This window comes from Homo sapiens, chromosome 9 (genome assembly GCF_000001405.40).
Source record: "Homo sapiens chromosome 9, GRCh38.p14 Primary Assembly".
Classification (NCBI taxonomy): domain Eukaryota; kingdom Metazoa; phylum Chordata; class Mammalia; order Primates; family Hominidae; genus Homo; species Homo sapiens.
The window spans coordinates 107082463-107104626 of record NC_000009.12 but is presented as its reverse complement, the minus strand read 5'-3'; the positions used below and the strand labels follow the sequence as shown (position 1 = coordinate 107104626).

Here is a 22164-nt window from a genome sequence, read left to right as displayed (position 1 = left end):
TGCTTCCTTCTCCTGCCAGGGCCTTAGCTGCTGCTACAGTCAATCTGGATTACTTGGTGTTTCCTCCTTTATGGGATTATTGGTAGAGGAGTCCCTGCCAGTGGGTAAGCCCTCTCATTCTTTCTCCCCTAGAGCAATCTTCCAGGCCAATCCCAAATGCCACTTCCTGTGAACTCCCATAACATCATTTCTCTTTTCAAATCCAGTTCAACCTCCTAATATAGATATTTGTCCATTTCTTTTATACTCCCTAGTAGACCCTGATTTACTTAGACACACTCTGTTAACTATGAAGAGCCACACAAACATTCATTAAGAAGGAAGCCATGGATAAAGACATTCATTAATTCAGCCAGAATTCAGTCTGAAGATGGGCCGTGCCACTGAATAGCTAAGGGAAGTAGGGAAAATGATTAAACCCTGTGCTACAATGTTTATCTGAAGGTAGAACTAAAATACCTACCTAAGGTAGTTGAGAAGATTATAGGAGATAATTGTATAAAAATATACGGAACTGTCAGGCACATAGTTGGCCCTCAATATTATTTTCTTTTTTTCCTTTTCACCATAAGTCTGAGAGAGCACGTCCTTTCTTTATGCTGGCCAAATGTGTATGTATGTATACATAAAACCTTTCTCCATGGATATCAAGTAATCTGTAATATTATAAAACTAAATTCATTTTGGCAACATTCAAGTAAAAATCAAATGCTTCTCCCTGCTTTGCCCATCAGATGGAGGTTGACATGTAGACATAAACTCAACATTCAGTGCACACCATCTGCCGGCCAGCCCTGTGCTACATGAAATGATATACAGATGAACTGAATATGGAACTTGTCTTTTGCCCTAAGATTTCTCATTACAATTTCTTGAACACGTGGGCCTTTCACAGATAGCAAATGCTTCTGTATGGTGGATTGCCTCACTCAGATGTTTACACACTCCTCTCCATGGATAAAAGCAGAGGGAGGACTATGCAATTTTAAGAGTCTTTCTGTTACTTTCTTGGAGTGCTTCTCAACTTTTCATCAGCACAATAATGAGTTGGGGGTTTCCTACACAGGCAGATTCCTAGCCTTACCCTTAGAGATTCGGCTTGGGTAGAATCATATCATTTTCCTTACTTCCTTTAGCTATTCAGTGGTATGAGTACAGCCCAGGACTCTGCATCTTTAACAAGCATCCAGCGTGATCCTGTTTTAGATGAGAAACAATGGGTGCTGGGTTGTGGATGGTAGCAAGGAAGTTGGTTCTTGCAGAAGTGAGTACATTGTGACTTTTTTTTTTTTTTTTTTTTGAAACGGAGTCTCGCTCTGTCGCCCAGGCTGGAGTGCAATGACACGATCTCGGCTCACTGCAACCTCTGCCTCCCGGGTTCACGCCGTTCTCCTGCCTCAGCCTCCCAAGTAGCTGGGACTACAGGCGCCCGCCAGCACGCCTGGCTAATTTTTTTGTATTTTTAGTACAGACTAGGTTTCACCATGTTAGCCAGGATGGTCTCGATCTCCTGACCTTGTGATCCACCCGCCTCGGCCTCCCAAAGTGCTGGGATTACAGGCTTGAGCCACCGCGCGGGGCACATTGTGACATTTCAAGCAGGCATGGCTAATAACCAAGGTCATTCATTGGATCTCAACAGATGGACCTCACAGTCTCGCAACTAACATGGGAACCAGTAATCTCATGCCAGAGGAAGCACTCCTGAGGCAGAGGAGATTTCAGGAGAGAACAGGTTGAACATTAATAAGGAGGAGCTTTGGCACTGGTCCAAGAAACAGGATAAGCTAAATCTCTGCATCTATTCTGGACACCAGAATGGCGCGGGGACCATTTAGAGGTGAGATGGGCAGGTAAGTTGATGAAGAAGAACCACCAAGGTATGAAACCATCAGGAACTTGGACTATGGATGAGATAAAATTTTCTCAGCCAAATAAAATATTTATTCATTTATTTCCTCTTGGCCTCCCTTATTAATTTATTTAGTTTCTGTGGAAAATATGAACCCAGTTTGAAGGAACAGCTCTGGGTGAAGTCAGCTACTGGAAGGGTGGGAATTAAATAATAATCATCACTCATTTTATGGAATGCTTTTCTAGGCCAGGCACTTTACATACATTATGTTTAATTTTCACAAGCACACAATAAGGTAGGTGTTAATTGTCTATGTTTTTCAGATGAGGAGCTGAAGTTTCAGAGAGGTTAAGCAATTTGCCTAGGTTCACACAGCAAAGATGATGAAACTTACAACCACAAGGTGAGCCCTTCTTACTAGAAGTTCTCTTCGTGTCTCCTGGTGTTCACATATTGGAAGACTTAATCCTTCAGTGACCGGGAAAAGACCTCCTAGGACCTACCAATCCAGCCTTATCAGACACCTGGCAGAGAAAGTGATTTCTGAAGCAGGAGAAAACCCAGGAAGATTGCTCAGTTCCTGTGCAAGCTGCTTCCCAGCTGGAGATGACAGTTAATCTTGAAAATCAATTCAGTGCCTGCTCTCACTGCAGACACTCCTCAGGGCAGGCCACGGCTCCTCTCACCACCGTTAAACAGAATAAAAAGTGGGGAATTGAGCAGCATAAGACATGCAGTGGCTGCCAGTGGGAAGCGGTCAGGAGCAACTGTGTGCTGGGCCCGGGGTCGCCCTAGAACACTGCTATTGGGCTCACAGGTGGCACCTTCAGCCTCAGGCACAGACAAGGTATGGGCGGACAAGAAGTGGTACTGGCCGATTTTGCCTGAGAATGGGCAGAATCAGCTCATGTGGGCAACCTCAGTCTTTCTCTGACAGCCTGGGCATGGGCTGCTTTGGCTTTGTGGCAAGCCTGTTCTTTTCTGGATACTTTCTGGACTGTGACCCTGTGTCTTCTGAGATTGTCCAAGAGTGGACGAGGCTTACCCATGGGTGATGACTCAGCAGGGAGCCCAGGGCCCTCTGTGTGTGGCTGCAAGGCTTCAGATATCTCACATGTCTTCTCAAGGTTGCAATTATGTCACATGGCTCTAAGACTAGTAGACTAGGCCAGATTATTCTAGAATCTTCTCTCAGATTCTGGAAGGTAGGCAGAAAACACCACTTTCAGAGAGGATTAATTCTGCTTCAGAAAAAAAGTGAGATGAGAAAGCAATGGTATCCTTCGGTGGGACATGTGACAGTATCACCTCACAGCACTGTGGTGTTTATCTTAATGTCTTTCACTTACAAGATCAAGGCTCTGGGAGGTAGGTAGGCAGGGCAGAAACTATTGTCCCCATTTTAAAGAGGAGGAAACTGATGTTCAGAGACTTTAACAAGGATTGGAATGGTAGAAAGCAAACTCAAAGACGGACCTTACTATAAATATCTGAGGTTTTTTTTTTTTTTCTAACAATTAACCCTCGCTACATGACTCTGTATATCTGAGACCGAGTATCTTCTTTCCTGAGGATATTGTATGCTTGAGGTGAGGGTAATTATGATAATAGCAACGTGTATATAGGAGGGCTGTGAGGAGTCCCGGAGAAAATAGATGTGAAAGTACATTGTAAAGCAATAGTGCCATGCAAGGGAATGTAATATTAATATTATTCAAACTCCTGCCACCTCATGTTCTCTTCAAATGTCTCTTCAGCAATGACTTGCCTTTCTGTCCTTTGCCTACCCAGCTTCATCATCTGAGTATAATGAGAACAAACATATGGGGGCTCTGCACTGGTGCTTACTATCACTATTTTACAGATGAGTAAGCTGAGGCTCCGGGAAATGACTTTCCTCAGCTAATAAACCCAGTGTATGGCAGGATGGCGATGCTCCGCCCCTCCTGCTGCAGCTCACCTCCCAGGTGTGTTCCCGCTCACACTCTGTGTTGCCTCTCTGTATGGTGACCTCGAGGCTCTCAGACCCTGCATGCTGTAGAGAGAGCCTGTGCACTCCTTAAAGTACGGTCACGTCTCATTTATGCACATCACCCTGTCCCCAGTGGCTCTTAGGCAGGAGGAAATCTTCATTCCATCTGAGGCCCAGGAACAGGGTTGTGTGAGGGCTGCTCCCCATAATGTCACAGTGGGGGCTGCCAAAATGTCTTCACATACAGGATGAGCCACAGGAGCAGCCAGTGGAAGGAACCCTGGTACTCTGCCTTCTACAGTCTGTGGGGAGGAGGACACTTTCTTAAACCCAGTTTGTCTGAGGATCTCAGCCGTCAGGGAGGAAAAAGCCACCCAGTCCTCAGTCCTCCCCTTCTAGGAATCAGGAATGTTGGAGAGAACTGGGCACTGGGCTCAAAGACAGGGAATCTGGAATTTTAGGAATGAGTGAAGTTTCCAGAGAAAGGCTGCATGTGGTCAAATTCCAGTTCTGCCATTTCTTAAGTATGTGATCATGGACAACTCACTTGATTCCTCTGAGCCTCAGTTATCTCATCTGAAAAATGGGTGTTTATTTGTTAATTAAAAACATTTATAATGAAGGAGCAAGTGATGCTGTAGGTATGAAGGATACAATGAGGCAGATGAGGTCTTGGGGGCTGAAAATAACTCAAGGAGTCAATCGCTAGTGAAGGAAGTAGAGCAGCTAATAAATGCACAAGAAAAATTTACATAGTGTGAGTACTATAAAAGAAAAGCAGCATAAGTTGATGACTAAGGGGGCTCTTTTGGATTGAGGTGGGTTAGGGACGATGTTTCTGAAGAAGTGACATTTGAATGAGATAAGAGTGACAAGAATGAGCCAGCTATGCCAAGACCCGAAGTTGGACAGTGAGGAAGTAGAAAGAGGGTTTCAGGTAGATGGGGCAGCCTGGGCACAGGCCCCGAAGGAGGAGCAAGTGTGATGAGCTCAGAGTGCTGCAGAGTTGAAAGGCAGCCAGTGTGGCTGCAGAGAAGCAAGAGGTGGGGCAAGTGGTGGAGGAGGTCAGAGAATGAGGCCAGGCTGATCCTGCTGGCCTCAAGGCATGGTCAGAAGTATGCAAGTCACTGCAGTGTGGTAGAAAGCCATTGGAGGTTTTTAAGCAGAAGAGCAACATGACCTGATTCGTATTTGTAAAATATCTGTCAGGCTGCTAGTAGGGAAAATAACTGGGGCGGGGGGTAAGAGTAGAAGCAGGGAGATCATCTGTGGCATTGCAGTAGTCAAGGAAAACAATGGCAGTGGCTTAGACTATAGTGGAGCGAAAGAGGTCAGATATGGGATGTATTCTGTGGGAAAAGCTGGCAGAACATGATGGGGGATTAGATGAGGGGATGTGGGAGAGAATTCAAGATGGTACCTGGCTTTAGGAATGACTCAATAGTCATCTGGTAACAACTCACCTAGATAATGGATGAGTAGTATGCAGCAAAGTGCCAGAAACTTACTAAAGGATCAGTACATTTTTATCACATTCATTATTCCTGTAGGCCAGTTCTGCAACTGACATTCAGTTGAACTTTCGGTGATTGCCTCTCTGATCCTCAGTTTCCTCATGTATACAATATGGCAGGCCATATATTTTTACATTCATTTGACAAATATGTATTAGACATTTATCATACACCAGGCTCTATGCTGAGTACCAGAGATACAAGGTAAAGAAGACCAAATAGTATCGGCCCTTATGGGAGAGTGGAGAAGACACTATTGAACAGGAAGTTACTAGTCCTAGGGAGGGTCAAGAAGGAGGTGCTGGGAGAAAGACCTTGTTCAAGTGTGTGTCCTTGGGGAGGCTTCCTGCATGGGATGACATTTAAGTGGGGTCACAGGATAAGTAGGGGTTAGCAAGGTGAGGGATGAGGATGGGTGGGCTGGGGTGAGCAGGGAAAGAGGGTATCAGACAGGGGTAGTAGCATAAGTTAACTACTTGAGGCATAAAAGAACATGGCCTTTCCAAAGCCAAAATGTCCAAGTGTTGAACTGCCCAAACACCCCATCTCCTGCTTGAGAGACCATGGAAAGAAAGGGTGGCAAGACTCATCAAATGCAGGCAAGTCCATTTTCAAATTATCTGGATAAGCCATAGATTTGTTCAAATTTTTTAAAAGGTTAGCAAACCACATTAAATGCTTGTGATCTTTTGGAAGGATCTGGTCTCTAGTTGTGTGTTGCTCAACTCCTTTGCTAAGATAATTTATCAGCTGTTCTTAAATAAGGATGTGCATCAGCCTCTCTAGGGGGAACAGAGAAAGTGGCCTCACTCCCAAAATTCTGATTCACAGGTCTCTCTATAGGTATTCCTGACATGCAATCAGGATTAGACACTGCTTAATTATGGGAATACGCTTCACTGATTCTGCAACATGTTCTGAGTTCTGTCCTTGAGTGCAGCTGGATCACTAAAAAGCTACTGGACTTTATTATACTATGTTCCTAATGGACAAAAGTCTTGGAATTATGCACAGATGTGGAAAAAATTCATCTTAAACATTTCTGCATTCCCTGTAGAACTATTTTTGAAGGTATTACAATGTTCATTATAATCTATTTGCTTTAGAATTTATTTCAGTTAAAGAATTGGCATGCTTTCTTTTTACAGATGGTGAGCATTAAATAATCCAATATAACTACCTTTTTGCCTTGGCTGCTAGGAAGCTCAGAGTCAAAACTGAATCCCACCTACAGTAACTATTCTCAACTGCACAAGCAGCATATTGGCATACCACTTTTCTCGTGGTTTTAATTTCAAATTTTTAGTTTAATACTATGCCAAGTATATATGAAGAACCCACTGTTTCTACATCTGAATGAAGGTTCTTCACCAGCACCAACATGCACCATTGCTGGAGTCCATGGAAGAATGACAAAGACTATAGACATCACTACTATGTGGGTGGCAGACACTGTGAAACCAAACCACTAGGCACTTGGAAATAGAAGCATTTGTTGAAATCACATGCAATTAGATCAAAGACAAAAGTATTCTTTCTCACAATTCCATCCAGAAAGAACACTGAGGGTCAGGCCTGGTGGCTCACGCCTGTAATCCCAGCCCTTTGGGAGGCTAAAGTAGGTGGATCACTTGAGGTCAGGAGTTTGAGACTAGACTGGCCAACATGGTGAAACCCCATCTCTACTAAAAATACAAAAATTAGCTGGGCATGGTGGCACACGCCTGTAAGCCCAGCTACTTGGGAGACTAAAGTAAGAGAATCACTTGAGCCTGGGAGGTGGAGGTTGCAGTGAGCAGAGATCACACCTCTGCACTCCAGCCTGGGTGACAGAGTGAGGCTCTGTCTCAAAAATAAATAAATAAATAAATAAATAAATAAATAAATTAATTAATTAATAATAATAAAAAGAAGACTGGGTATTCCTGATGTGAGTCAGTTTGTCTTATGAGTGTTTCCTCAAAAAAATAGCAAGAAGCAGGTTACACTATGTGCAATCCATTTCCCTCTCCTTTGATTATCACAGCAATCCCCAGAAGCAGCCCTTTCACAGAGAGGAAGCTGAGGCTTAGAGGGTGTCAATGGATGATCCAGTGCTGCAGAGCCAGAAGGTAGCAGATCCAGGATGTCTGTCTTTTGTGACAAGTCCCACCTTCCTTCTGGATGTATCTTTCTATCCCCTGTAAATGAGTCCGACTGCAGGTACCAGCCTTATAAATGTGATTTTCTCCATCTGCTTGGGTATTCCACCAGGCCCCCCACTGTTGGCACTCTGCTTCTTCTCAGCCAACAAGGCCTTTTGATGATGTGCTGTGTTTCCCTGTCTCTGATAACCCAGTTTAGGTCTTGTTATTCCAATTTTGACCTTTATCTCCAACATTACAGAGGAATCTCCGTATTCTTCTCAGTGCATTTCTGTCTCCTATCTCCCCACCTTCCTGTCACACCTCAACCCCATTCTAAGCTTCATGTCCAATATCTGTAGAGTACAGGTGCTCACTCCCAGAAACTGTGGGATCCATCCTTAGTGGGGGAAGCTGCATGAGCTGCTTTGCTGCTGCTCTTGGATGGATCCTGGGATGATTGTTGGAAGCCCTAATCCACTGGGCCCTCAACTTCTAGAAGGAATTTTCTTTTTCTTTCCCTATTTATTATTATTTTGTAGTCTTTCATGTTCCACAATAATTTAAGGAGGTTCAAATTTAGAAACATTTCCTACTGAAGCAAAAGCTGATATTTTGCCCCAGGACAAAATATTTTTGCATTGATCCAGGGGGAACTGAGACCCAGCGCAATGGGAAAGACTCAGGCCCAGAGGGCCCGTTCTGCCAGTATGCACCATCCCCTCTGTTCCAATTATGCTGTCAGCAAATGTATCCATTTTTGAAATTACACCACTATTATGGGTTATTTATATAGGGTAGACTGAAGTGTCCATAATGCTTATCCATAAGGTGAGCACTTTCTTATTTCTGACTGCTCTCTACTCCACCTGTTTCCTGGATTTGAGCCAATTTGCCACCCATTTTTAATAGATGGTCCTACTTCTGTGCTTTTAGACTATTATCCACTTTCTTGAGTGCCACTAGTCTGTATTAGTTTACTGAGTTTAGAAGGGTCACAGTCTCTATCTACCAGGTTACCAAGACAGGTGAGTCTGTTCTGTTTTACACACACACACACACACACACACACACACACACACACACGCATGCACACATAGAGTTCTCCCAAACTTTGTAGTCCCTGAATTGGGTGGTTTCCCATGAGCTCTTATTGCCTAAGTGAATAAAGAAGTTGAGACGTTTTCCTTGCTCTGGAAACATTAGTGTCTGTCTAAGTCATTTGTGGTTTCCTTGGTCTAGTCTACTAGAAGTTCTTTCTTGCATGAAAAAAACTGAAATGGAACTTGAATGATCCTCCTCCCACTATTTAAGTACTGCTTTCTGAAACTTTCAGCTATATAGCAATTGCCTCCAAAGAGTTCCTGTTATTTTCCTCTATTTTTTTCCTTTGTATTTGGATTTACCTCTTTAGAACCATGCTTCTTCTCATCCATCTTCTGTCCCGAGCACCTTATTACTCTGTTCATTAGAGTCTTTTTCAGAACATACTTCATAGTCCCTCAGGATTCTGTTTAACCATCCTTTTCTTTGGAAGCCTAAGTGCAAGGGAAAGCCATTGTGAAGATACAGTGACAGGCACTTAGTGGGTTCAGGTCGTTTCATTCCAGCAATTGGCTGACCAAGCCAAAGCACTAGAAAGAGTTGACCACTTCTGCATAAAACTTGGTCAGTGGGTGGCCGAAGAACTGATTTCAGTCCTGACCCCTTCAGAGCCTTGGTTTCTTCAACTGTGAAATTATTGAGTTGGGTTGGAGGAATTCTTCAGCTTCATTTCTAAAATTAAACTTTTGATTTTGATAAAATTGGGGCCATCTGCAATTGCAAGAAATAGTGCAGAAAGATTCCATGTACCTTTTATTTCATTTCCTCCAATGGCAACTTCTTGCAAAACTCTAGTACAGTATCACAACCAGGATATTGACATTGACACATTTAAGATACAGAACATTTCCACCACCACAAAGACCCCTCATATTGCCCCTTTGTAGACACACACCTTCCTCCCTTGTCCCTGACTCTTAGCAACCACTAATCTATTCTCCATTTCTATAATTTTGTCATTTCAAGAATGTTCATACCAATGAGAACACATGGACACAGGAAGGGGAACATCACACACCAGGGCCTGTTGTGGGGTCGGGGGAGGGGGGAGGGATAGCATTAGGAGATATACCTAATGTTAAATGATGAGTTAATGGGTGCAGCACACCAACATGGCACATGTATGCATATGTAACAAACCTGCACGTTGTGCACATGTACCCTAAACCTTAAAGTATATATAAAAAAAGAATGTTCATACAGCATGTAACTTTTCAAGTTGACTTTTTTCACTCAGTGTAATTCTCTGGATATTCATCCAGGTTGTAGCATGTATCAGTAGTTCATTCCTTTAATTTCTGAGTAGTTTTCCATGATATGAATATACCACAGATTATTTAACCATTTACCCATTGAAGGACAGGAGGGTTATTTCTAGTTTTGGGTTATTATGAATATAAAGCTGCTATAAACATTCATGGACAGATTTTTGTGTCAACATAAGTCTTCATTTCTCTGGGAGAAATGCCAAGGAGTACAATTGCTGGGTCATATGGTAGTTATAGGTTTCATTTTTAAAGAAACTGCCAACGTTGTCCAGAAAGGCTGTGTCATTTTACATTTCCACCAGAAATATGTATTTTTCTACATCCTTGCTAGCATTTGGTGTTGACGCCATTTTTTATTTTAGCCATTCCGATAGGTGTATAGTGGTATCTCAATGTGGTTTTAATTTGTATTTCCCTAATGACTAATCATGTTGAACACCTTTTCATGTGCTTATTTTCCATCTGTACATCTTCTTCAGTGAAATGTCTTTTCATCTATCTTGCCAATTTTCTAATTAAATTTTTTTCTTTACTGTCAAGTTTTGAATATTTTAGATACTAGTCCTTTGTCAGATTTCATGCAAACATTTTCTCCCACTTCATAGCTTGTCTGTTCATCATCTTAGGATCTTTCATAGAACAGAAGTTTTTAATTTTAATAAAGCTCAGCTTATCAATTTCATCTTTTATGGATTATGCGTTTGGTGTCATATTTAAATACTTTTTGCCTAGTCCTAGACCCTGAAGATTCTCCTGTTTTTCTAAAAGTTTTGTAGTTTTATGCTTTACATTTAAATCTGTGACTCATTCTTAAGTTAATTGTTGTATAATATATGAGACTCAAGATTAATATTTTGTTTGCATGTCTTTGTGTCCAATTGCTCCAGTACCATTTATTGAAAAGGACCTTTCCTCCATAGGCAGGCACACCTCATTTTATTGTGCTTTGCAGATACTGAGTTTTTTTTTTTTTTTTTTTAACAAGTTGAAAGTTTGTGGCAACTCTACATTGAGCAAGTATTGGTACCATTTTTCCAAACGCGTGTGCTCAGTTAGTGTTTCTGTGTCACATTTTGGTAATTCTTGCAATATTGGAAAGTTTCTCATTATTATATGTGGCATAGTGATCTGTGATTAGTGATCTTCCAGGTTACAACTGTAATTGTTTTGGGGCACCATAAACCACACCCATGTAAGACATTAAACTTAGTCGATAAATGTTGTGTATGTTCTGACTGCTTCACTGACTGGTCATTTCCCCATCTCCTGCTCCTTAGGCATCCCTATTCCTTTAGAGACAACAATATTGAAATTAGGTCAAAATTCAATAGCCCCACAATGGCCTCTAAGTGTTCAAGGGAAAAGAAGAGTTGCACATCTCTTACTCTAAATCAAAAGCTACAAATGATTAAGCTCAGTCAAGTTGTAAATTCAAAGGAAAAGCTCTTTAAGGAAATTAAAGTGCTACTCCAGTGAAAATATGAATGATAAAAAAGGGAAACATGTTGGGTGAGGTGGCTTATGCCTGTAATCCCAGCACATTCTGGAATTGATTTTTCTATGTGTATTTTACATCCTGTGACTTTATTAACTCATTTGTTAGTTCTAGAAAGATTTTGAGGGGATAGAGATTCCTTGTAACTTCCTACACAATCATGTCATCTGAAAATATAGATGGTTTTATTTTTTCCTTTCACTCTATGTAACTTTTATTTCCTTTTCTTGCCATATCGTACTGGCGAGAGCTTCTAGCACTATGTTGAGTAAGAGTGGTGAGAGTGAATATCCTTGGCTTGTTCCTGAGTTTTAGAATAAAATGTCAGTCTTTTGACATTAAACATAATGTTAATTTTAAGTTTTTGTAGATGCTCTTTTTCAATTCAAGAACGTTCCCCTTTATTGCTAGTTTGCTGAAGGTTTTTTTTTTTTAATCATGAATAAGTGTGGAATTTTGTCAAATTCTTATCTGATTTGATTGATGCGATTATGGTTGTTGTTGTTTTTTTTTTTTTTAGCCTGTTAATACAGTGGATTACACTGACTAGTTTTTGAGTACTGAGACAGCCTTACACTCTCTGGAATAATTTCAGCTGCTCATAGTGTGTTTATAAATAAATGATACACACACACACATATATTTGCATCTATACTTATTAGGAATATTAGCCTATTTTTTTGGTACTATGTTTGTCTGGTTTTGGTATTGGGACACTACTAGTTTTATAAAATGAATGGGGATATATTCCCCTTTCTATTTTCTAAAAGAGATTGCATAAAATTAGTATTAATACTTCTTTAAATATTAGAATTCTCCAGTGAAATCAGCTGGGCCTGGAGATTTCTTTTTTGGTAGTTTTTTTTTCTTTCTTTCTTTTTTTTTGAGATGGAGTCTCACTCTGTCTCCAGGCTGGAGTGCAGTGGCACGATCTCAGCTCACTGCAACCTCCGACTCCCTGGTTCAAGTGATTCTCCTGCCTCAGCCTCTCGAGTAGCTGACATTACAGGCACGTGCCACCACAGCCAGCTAATTTTTGTATTTTTAGGAGAGATGGGGTTTCATCATGTTGGCCAGAATGGTCTCAATCTCTCGACTTTGTGATCCACCCTCCTCGACCTCCCAAAGTACTAGGATTACAGGCGTGAGCCACCGTGCCCGGTCTGGTAGTTTTTAAAATTATAAATTCAATTTTCCTTAATAATTATAAGATTATCTAAATTATTTCATATTAGGTGAGTTATGGTAGTTTGTGTTTTTCACAAAAGTAGATCCATTTATCTAAGTTGTCAAATTTATGAGCGTACAGCTATTTCTAGCATTCTCTTGTTATTACTTTGACGCCTTCAGGCCTGTAATGACTTCTGATATTGGTAATTTGTCTTTTTTTTTCCACTGTTAATCTTGTGAAAGGTTTATTAATTTTATTGCTCTTTTCAAAGCACCAGCTCTTTGTTTCACTGTCTCTATTGTTTTTCTGTTTTGAATCTCATAATTTCTGTTTTGACTTTTAATATTTCCTTCTTTCTGCTTGCTTTGGGTTTATTTTGCTCTTTTTTCCACCTTATGTTCTTGAGATGGGAGCTTTGACCACTGATTTGAGTCTTCCTTTTTGCAAATGGAAGCTTGTTCAGTGATAAAAATTTCATTTTCAGCACTGCTTTAGATGTGTCCCACAGATTTTGACATGTTGCTTTCTTATTTGCATTCAGTAAAACGTATTTTTAAATTTCTCTTGAGACTTCTTACTGGTCCATTTCTTATTTAGAATTATATTGTTTAGTTCCAAGTATTAATAATCAAAGATCATCTTATTATCTTTCTGTTATTAATTTCTAGTTTGGTTCCATTATGGTCAGAGAACACAATCTGATTTCAATAATTTTAAATTTGTTGAGGTTTATTTTATGGCCCAGGATGTGGCCTATTTTAGGATATGTGCCATAGGCACTTGACAATCGTGTATATTTTCTTGTTTGAAGGTGATAGGTTCTATAAATGTCAATTAGATACTGTTGGTTGATGATGTTATTGAATTATTTGTTAGCCTTGCTGATTTTCTGTCTAGTTGTTACTATCAATTGTTAAGAGAGAGGTTTTGAAATTTTCAACTATAATTGCCCATGTACTTCTCTTTTTGTTTCTATCAGTGTTTGCTTAACATATTTTGAGGCTATCTTTTTCTGGTGTATTTAGTAGTGCTATGTCTTCTTGGTGGACTGACCTTTTTATCGTAAGTAATGTCTGTGTCTCATAATTTTCTTTGTTCTGAAGTTACTTTATATGATAATATGGCAACTCTTGTTTTCTTTTTATTGATGTTTGCATCCTTTTACCTTCAACTTGCCTACATTATACTAGTTAAGTTTTTATAGGCAGCATATAATCGGGTCTTGCTATTCAACCAAGTTGGCCAATCTCTGTCCTTTAATAGGTGTATTTAGTCCATTTACATTCAATGTGATTATTAATATGTTTGGGATATGTATGCCATTTTATTTTTTGCTCTTTTCTTTGTTTCCTTTTTCCTGCCTTTCAGTGGGTTTCTTGAACATTAAAAAATTATTTTATTTATAATACCTTTTTGGCTATTATTATTTTAAATTGACACATAATTATATATCTTTAAGGGGTATGGTGCGATATTTTGATACATGTGTGCAATGTGCAATGATGAAATCAGGGTCATTAGCATATCCATCACCTCAAACACTTATTTCTTTGTGTTGGGAACATTCAAAATCTGCTCTTTCTATAATGTTTTTGAGTATACCTCTTTATATAGCATTTTTAGTGGTTATCTAGGTATTATATTGTATGTACACAACTTATCACCATCCACTGGTGGTATCATTTTACCAGTTCAAGTGAAGTGCCAGAAACCTTACCTCCTTTTATATCCCATTATGCTCCTCTGTTTACAATATAATTGCCTTAAATATTTCCTCTCCATATGTTTGGAACCACATCAGAGAGTGTTATAATTTTTGTTTCAGCCGTCAAACATAATTTAGAAAATTCAAGTGCAAAAGGAAAGTCTATTATATATACTCATATTTTTGTTTACCATGTCTTTTATTCCTTCCCAAAGTTCAGAAATTCTTTTATTATTTCCTTTCTGTTCAGAAAACTTTTGTTTGTCATTCTTTGAGGGTAAGTCTGCAGATGACGAGTACTTTCAGTTTTTCTTAACCAGAGAATGTCCTATTTTTCCTCAATTTTTGAAGGATAATTTGCTGGATGTAGGATTCTGGGTTGACAAAATTCTATATTTATTTTTTAGCACTGGAAAATGTTGTGCCTCTGTCTTCTGACCTACATAGTTCCTGATGAGAAATCCACTGTAATTTGAATTGTTTTCCCCTGTAAGCAAGGAATTTTACTGTGGCTGCTTTCAAGAATTTTTTTCCTTGTCTTTAGTTTTCAGAGATTTGACTCTGATATGTCTTAGTGTGGATTACTTTGGGTTTATCCTGTCTGAAGCTTGCTCACCATTTTGAATCCGTAGATTTTATGTCTTTTGCCAAATTTGGGAAGTTTTCAATTATTTTGTTAAGTGCTTTTTCAGCCTCACCCTCTCTCTCTTCTCCTTTCATGACCCTGATGACATTAATGTTAAATATTTTCTTATAGTCCTACAAGTCGGTGGGTTTTTTAAAAAATATTCTCTGTCGTCTCTGTGATTTCTACTATCCAGTCTTTCAAGTCACTGATTTTTTTCCCCTCTATTTTCTTAATTCTGCTGTTAAGCATAACCATTTTTTTTAACATTTCAGTTCTATTTTTAGTTCCAAAATTTTTCATTTGGCTTTTTGTATCTTCTGTTTTTTTTGCTGAGACTTTCCCATTTTTGATTTATTTGTCTGAAGTATGTTTGTATTGCTCATTAAAACATTTTTATGACTGCTTTAAAATCTTTGACAGATAATTCTATTATCTCTATCATCTTAGTGATGAAATCTATGATCTTTTCATTTGAGTTGAAATTTTATTCAGTTCTTCCTGATTCTTGACGTGTTGAGTAATTCTGTATTGAAATCTGGGCATTTCTGCTACTGTATTATGAGACTATGGGTCTCGTTTAAGCTGTCCATTTTAGCTGGCTTCCTCTGACACTACTTCAACAAAGGAAGGAGAAGCTGTGTTGTTTTGTTACTGGCAGGTAGGGGTAGAACTCTGGTTTCCCCACTAAATCTCTGTTAACACATGAGATGGGGGCTCGTCATTACTGCTTGGGGATGGTGGGAGTCGTGGTTCTCTCTAGGCCTCTACTAATAACTCCCTGACTAAGAGGGGTAGGAATGCCTGTTTCTCGTTTCATATGTGGACTCTCTGACACCACAGAGGTGGAAGGGTGGCCTTATTATTGCTGGGCAGAGGTGAAGGTCCTGACTCTCCACTAGGCTCCACTGATGCCCAGTGGGGAGGGAGGGGGGGCACCTCGTTACTAACAGGTGGGAGGTGGAAACTCAGGCTCACCAGCCTGACATTATGAGGAAGGATATGAGCTCATTACCACCCAGTGAGGATGGACATCCCAGCTACCTTCTTGGCCTTCCTGGACACCAACCCAGCAGGAGAGGAGGTATGGTGGGGCACTTCATTACAGCCTGGAGAGAGTGGAAGTCTAAGCTTCACACTCTATGCCTTTGTGTGTGTGGTGGGGTGGGTGAGGCTAGCTTTCATCTGTGTTGTTTGGCTAGAAGACAGTGGTTAGTGTCTAAAAGTTTCTATCTTGCTAGGCTGCCCCTTTCCTGGTCCTTTGGCAGGATAGAACCAGCTTCTGTTGTTTGTGCTTATTGACATTTCTGGGTTGCCAGCTTCTTCAGTCCCAAGTCTAGGATACATGAGGTGAAATGAAAACCCAGGGAACTCACCATGTCCAGAAGTTCCTAGCTGGTCTGTCCTCTTATCTTTATCTTTCAGAGTATTCTTGTGTTTGTTTTATATATAATGTCCAGGGTTTTTAGTGGTAGTTAAGAGACAGAATAGGGAACAACCCATCTACCCCACCTTTCTGGAAGCAGAAAGGAGAAGTCCCCACTTGAACATTTTTGTTTTGTTTTGTTTTTTAAAAACAATGGAAATATTTGATGGATATCCTACATCAAAGTCCAGGACATAAAAGATGGATGCAGAGCTTTCCCTCTAGTGGAATCTAGGAAAAATTAACCTGCAGTCCCATTTTCTTGTATACCCCTTAATTACTGTGGCCCCTAAAAGGCTTTCAAAGCACTGCCAGCCTCCTCAGTACACAGTTTGCATTAGGACCTCTCTAAACACTTTCAGTGTGACAGAGGCAGGCAGGAGAGAAAAGCATTGTTATTGATGTGGATTCCCCTCTCTCTATTAGATCATACGTTTCTTAAGGACAAGGGTTTAATCGTCTCTGAATCCACAGTGCTCAATCCTATGCCCAACATGAAAGGAATCATTATGTGTGTTGAGTGGATATACAAACTTGAAGGTGCTCCCAGGCTGTAAGAGTTCCCGTCTATGTCTAAAATAAATTTATGTATGTCATCTTTACAAATGTTAATAAAATCTGTATAGTTGACCATTCTGCTTCATAGACAAATGTTTGAACTATTTCATCCAAAAGGGTTTGGTTTCTAGTTCTGTGTCTACCTAGGAAGTCTTCGAACAATTCTACAGGGTTTGGGTTTGAGATAGATCCTTTCCAACATTTTATCTGTGCCCTGGATGAAGATATAGAAAGCATTCTTCTCATCTGCAAGGTTCTCAAATCTAGAAGTAAGTTTTAAACTATGTACTAAGTAGTCCTGGACAATTAGCCACCCCTGCTGGAGACTCTGAGAGGATCATGTGAAGTAGCCAGTGGTTTATGAAGCTGTTCTTAGAGTTCTCTGGTGACAAACTTTTGCTTTCCAGAGTTCCGTCATCTGTCATACAGCTGGTTCACCTCTTGTTTCACATATTTCTGGCGGAGACAGTTGGGAATGGATGAGAGTGGAAAACCTTGCAGCAGTTATTTGCTAGCCTTTAATAAGAAAAGGAGCACAACCAGGGAAATGAAACAATGTCCTGTTGCAAAGGACGCCAACCCCCTGAGGACAACTGTTGCTGACAGAGGTTTATCCTTATTTTGAGATTGATGTTTTACTAAAATGGTGTTAGCTCTGCCTTTCTGTCATCCTGGGAAGTGCCAACAAGGGCCCCAGTGTTGAAATGCAAACTGTGGAAGAGGCTTTAGTACAGGAATTATTGATAAGGAAGTTGTTGATATTGCAGCTGCGTTCTTCTAGCAAATCTGTTTTCTTCTTGGTAACTGCTCTGTGGATGGGATGGAGTCTGAACTCCCTAGCCTGGTCAGTAAGGCTCCTGATGATCTTGTTGCAGAACTGCAGATGGCTTATAATAGAAGATTCATAGCTAACACACAGGCTTTTTAGGTCACCTGATGCCCTAGGGTTCTAGTATCACAGCATTTAGCTAGAAAAAAATTCACATCTCCAGAAAGGCCAATGTGAGGAACTGAAGATAACTGAAGACCCATTCCTTAGTCTTTCAGACAGCTAGTCAACTAGCAGTTTTTGATGTCGTCTTTGTTACTTTGACTCCTGGGGTTGCCAAGTACTGCAGCTCACTTATGCTCCATCCAGAAATGTAAACTCAGCAAAAAGATACATAGGACAAGACTCGAAACTCATGGAAAACCAAGAACCATCTCCACTGTGAAAACTATCTGAAAGTTCATGGAGAATCCAGGTTGCAAGAACCATTGCAAGAATTCTCCACCTGGCCCAGGTACTCTTAGGGTAACTATTTCTACCTATCAATTTTGTCACATACCCCCTCCAATCTGCTCTGCATGTCTCCTTCTATCATACTTATTTTTCTATTAGGTTGGTGCAAAAGTAATTGCAGTTTTTGCCATTACTTTTAATGAGAAAAACTGCAATAAAGTTTTCACCAACCTAGTATCCTACCTCTTTAGTTCACTCATGGCACCTAGTACTTATCTTCTTTGGAACTTGTGAGCTGTGGTTACTGCTGCCAATTTGGTGAATCTGTCTGCATTTTATGGTCTGCATTTTTGAGACCCTGATCAGCTAATTTTTTCCCTATTTTGGTGGTGTTTTGACAAGTACCTGAACTCATAACTTGCTGGCATGCACTGGCTGCTCTTAGGTCAGGTGCTAAGAGGGCACCACACCATAATGCATGATTGCCTAAGGCTGAGCCCTCAGCAGGGGCTCGGGAAGGGGCAGGCACCATTGGAGGGGCTCAAGGATGCGACCTTTACCATAATTTACTTGTCTGGTTTTCTTGCCTCATGATAAACTCTGTGGATAGAGGTAATTAAGACAGCCCTTGATGGTGGGAAACACAGAGTCTAGTGGATATGGGACACTAGATCAGGATTAAGGTAAGATCTTCTGTGTGACTATTGCAAATCAGCTGTTTTTAAACAAAGTATAACATAAAAGGGCTTAGCAAAGAATTGTGAAAGGTAATTAGAAGTAAGCTGTTTATGACCGGGCACAGTGGCTCTTGCCTGTAATCCTAGTACTTTGTGAGGCCGAGGTGGGAGGGTCATCTAAGGTCAGGAGTTGGAGACCAGCCTGGCCAACATGGTGAAACCCTATCTCTACTAAAAATACAAAAATTAGCCAGGCATGGTGGCATACACCTATAATGCCAGCTACCCAGGAGGCTGAGGCAGACAGTCACTAGAACCCAGGAGGTGGAGTCTGCAGTGAGCCGAGATCTTGCCACTGCACTCCAGCCTGGGTGACAGAGTGAGACTCCATATCAAAAAAAAAAAAAAAAAAAAAAAAAAGTGGAGACAATTTGAAGGAATTGGGAGAAGTATGCATTCCAATGAAAGAGCGTAATGAAAACGCACAGCAGTGTAGTATCAAGAAAAAGGACTTTAGAGTCACAAATTTAGGTTCTAGTTCTGGTGTATCTCAAGCTAAATGAATCACTTTAAACAAGTTATGTAGGTTTCTGGAGTTTGGTTTCTTTATCTGAAAGTGAACTAATAATATTTACCTTGGAGTTTTTATAAGGATTAAATGCAGTAATGCATATAACATAGAGCCTAGAACATAGATGTTCAATAAATGTTAGTTGTTAAGTTGGTGCAAAAGTAATTGCAATTTTTGCCATTAAAAGTGGCAAAATTACTTTTTGCCAGTGCAGTAATTACTTTTAATGGCAAAAATCACTATTACTTTTGTACCAACCCAGTAATTAACAGTGATAAAGATGTGTTCATGGTATCAAAAAGGTTCTTGGTTTACAGTGCCTGGGAAGTCAACAAAAGATCAGCCTTGTGGCTAGGAGAGGAGGTCAACCTGAGCTGGTGTACACTGAGGGGGCCTCTTTGGGTGCAGGGAGTTGGACGATTAGCCAAAGAAGTTTCAGAAACTTTAGGCTTTGAAGTCCATCAGAATTTTTCCCCAGACACAGGACACTCAAAGCCACAGATGTGCACATCAACAGGAGTTCAATTAATGATTATTGAATTAGAAAGTCAAAGAGATCTGAAAGTTACATGAGAAAGGGGAGTGCTATAGTTCCTCCTTGGACCTTGGTTACTCTAGCTGTCAAATGAGGTGATTCCTTTGAGTTATGACATCTTAGGATTGTGTTTTCATTTAGTACTCTTAAATTGACAGTAAAAATGGCCTGTATTTACGATGTACATTGTTATATTTTGAAATATGTATACACTGTGGAACCACTAAATCAAGTGAATTAACATGTACATTACCTCACATGCTTATTTTTTGTGGAACACTTAAAATACACTCTCTTAGCAATTTTCAAGTATACAATATTATGAACTATAGTCACCATGATGTACAATAGATCTGTCGAACTTATTCCTGTGTCTAACTGAAATTTTGTATCCTTCAGCCATGATCTCCCCACCTACCCTAGTACCCCCAGCCACTGGTAACCACCATTCTACTCTCTACTTCTATGGATTCATCTTTTTTAGAGTCACATATGAGTGAGGTCATGTGATATTTGTCTTTCTGTGCCTGGCTTATTTCACTAACATGATGTCTTTCAGGTTCATCCATGTTGTCACAAATAACAGGATTTCCCTCTTTTTAAAGGTTGAACAGTATTCCATTATGTATATATACTATGTTTTTCAGGAAAGACTCTTCTAGTAGATCAGAGTGGGTGAAGAGTAAAGAAAGGAGATGGCACCAGCATACGATACAGCTTTTTCCTCTAAAGTCTCTTATAGAAAAAGTTACTGAATTTGGAATCTCCTAAAATTACTGTTGATTTAATTTTGGAGAAGTCATTTGCCTGCATTTATTTCTGGAGACCCTTCTGTATTTTTTTGTTGTTGCTGGTCTTTTTTCCATAGACTCTAACATTTCCTTTTTTTTTTTTTTTTTTTCTTTTTTTGAAGCAGAGTCTCACTCTGTCACCCAGGCTGGAGTGCAGTGGTGCAATCTCAGCTCACTGCAATCTCTGCCTTCCAGTTTCAAGTGATTCTCCCACCTCAACCTCCCAAGTAGATGGGATTACAGGTGCCGACCACCACACCCAGCTAATTTTTGTAGTTTTAGTAGAGACGGGGTTTCACCGCATTGGCCAGGCTGGTCTCAAACTCCTGACCTCAGGTGATCCATCTACCTCAGCCTCTCAAAATGCTGGAATTACAGGCATGAGCCACCGTGCCTGGCCACATTTCCTTTCCTGTCAGAAGTAATTTATGTTTCAGTGAAAACCACAGAATGATGTCCCATTTCATAGACATTATCAGTAAATTCCAGAGCTAGCATGGGGACTGGCAGGTAGTGGGCACTAAGAAAGTGTTTGTCATATGGATAAATAAATGGAGCGTCTTAGAAATCTAGTGCAATCTGCCTATTTTACAGATTGGGAAACTGCAGCCTGAAGAGGAAAAATGAGTTACACAAAGTCATCAGTGACAGGGCAGGTACACAAACCCAAGATTCTCCCAAGCTTAAACATTATTATAAAGCTCCAGGTTTGTAATGACTAGGTAGATATAATTGAGAACAAAAGAGATTCAGTTTTAACTATAAAATAGTCTCTGGCAGGCATTGGCAAAATTTTTATATAAAAAAGCCAGACAGTAAATATTTCAGGCGCTACAGGCCACAGAGTATTTGTCACATCTACTCAGCTCTATTATTGGAGCACCAAAATAGCCACAGATAATATGTAAATGACTGAACACAGTTGTGTTCCAATAAAACCTTATTATTCATGGACACTAAAATCTGAATTTTATACAATTTACATGTGTCATAAAATATTATTATTCTGTTTTATTTTTCAACCATTTAAACATGTAAAAAAAACATTCTTAGCTCTCAGGTTGTACAAAACTAGAGTGGGCTGGACTTGGCCAAACTTTGGTCTGTGACATTAAAAAAGAGAAAAAGTCTAATCATCAAAATTAGTTTTTTTTCAAAATTTTTGGCAGCTGCAGAAATTCCCTTAGCCCTTCTCTCATTTACACTACAATTGAGAAGCGTGCCATAAGCTTAGAAGAATGGAATTTCAAAACTTATTTTAATTGTAACCTGTTTCTGTCCACATTTTTTCAAAGACTGTCTGTTCAGGATAAGGCTAATTTCTTTCAGAATAGTTCTGTGGGTTTGTTCAGTACTGAAAAAACTAAAATGATCTATAATGAGGGTTGGTTAAATATTTGTACACCCACATGGCATATAATAAGCAGCCAAAACATTTATAAGATCTATTGATATGGAAAAATTGTTTATAATTAAGTGTGGAAAGGCAAGTTATTAAACATTATGTTTAGTTCAATCTCATTGAAGTAAATTTAGTGCTATGTAAATCCAC

General features: G+C 39.9%; 1 long non-coding RNA gene across 1 annotated transcript in view; it reads left to right on the top strand.

Moving 5' to 3' along the window:
• Positions 1 to 1638: 1638 nt before the first annotated feature.
• Positions 1639 to 22164, top strand: part of LOC340512 (uncharacterized) — a 128156-nt gene continuing 107630 nt past the window's right edge. The window contains exons 1-3 of the long non-coding RNA NR_126029.1: positions 1639 to 1853; positions 2179 to 2258; positions 7368 to 7452. This is a non-coding gene — a long non-coding RNA (uncharacterized LOC340512). The remainder of the gene's footprint in view (positions 1854 to 2178; positions 2259 to 7367; positions 7453 to 22164) is intronic.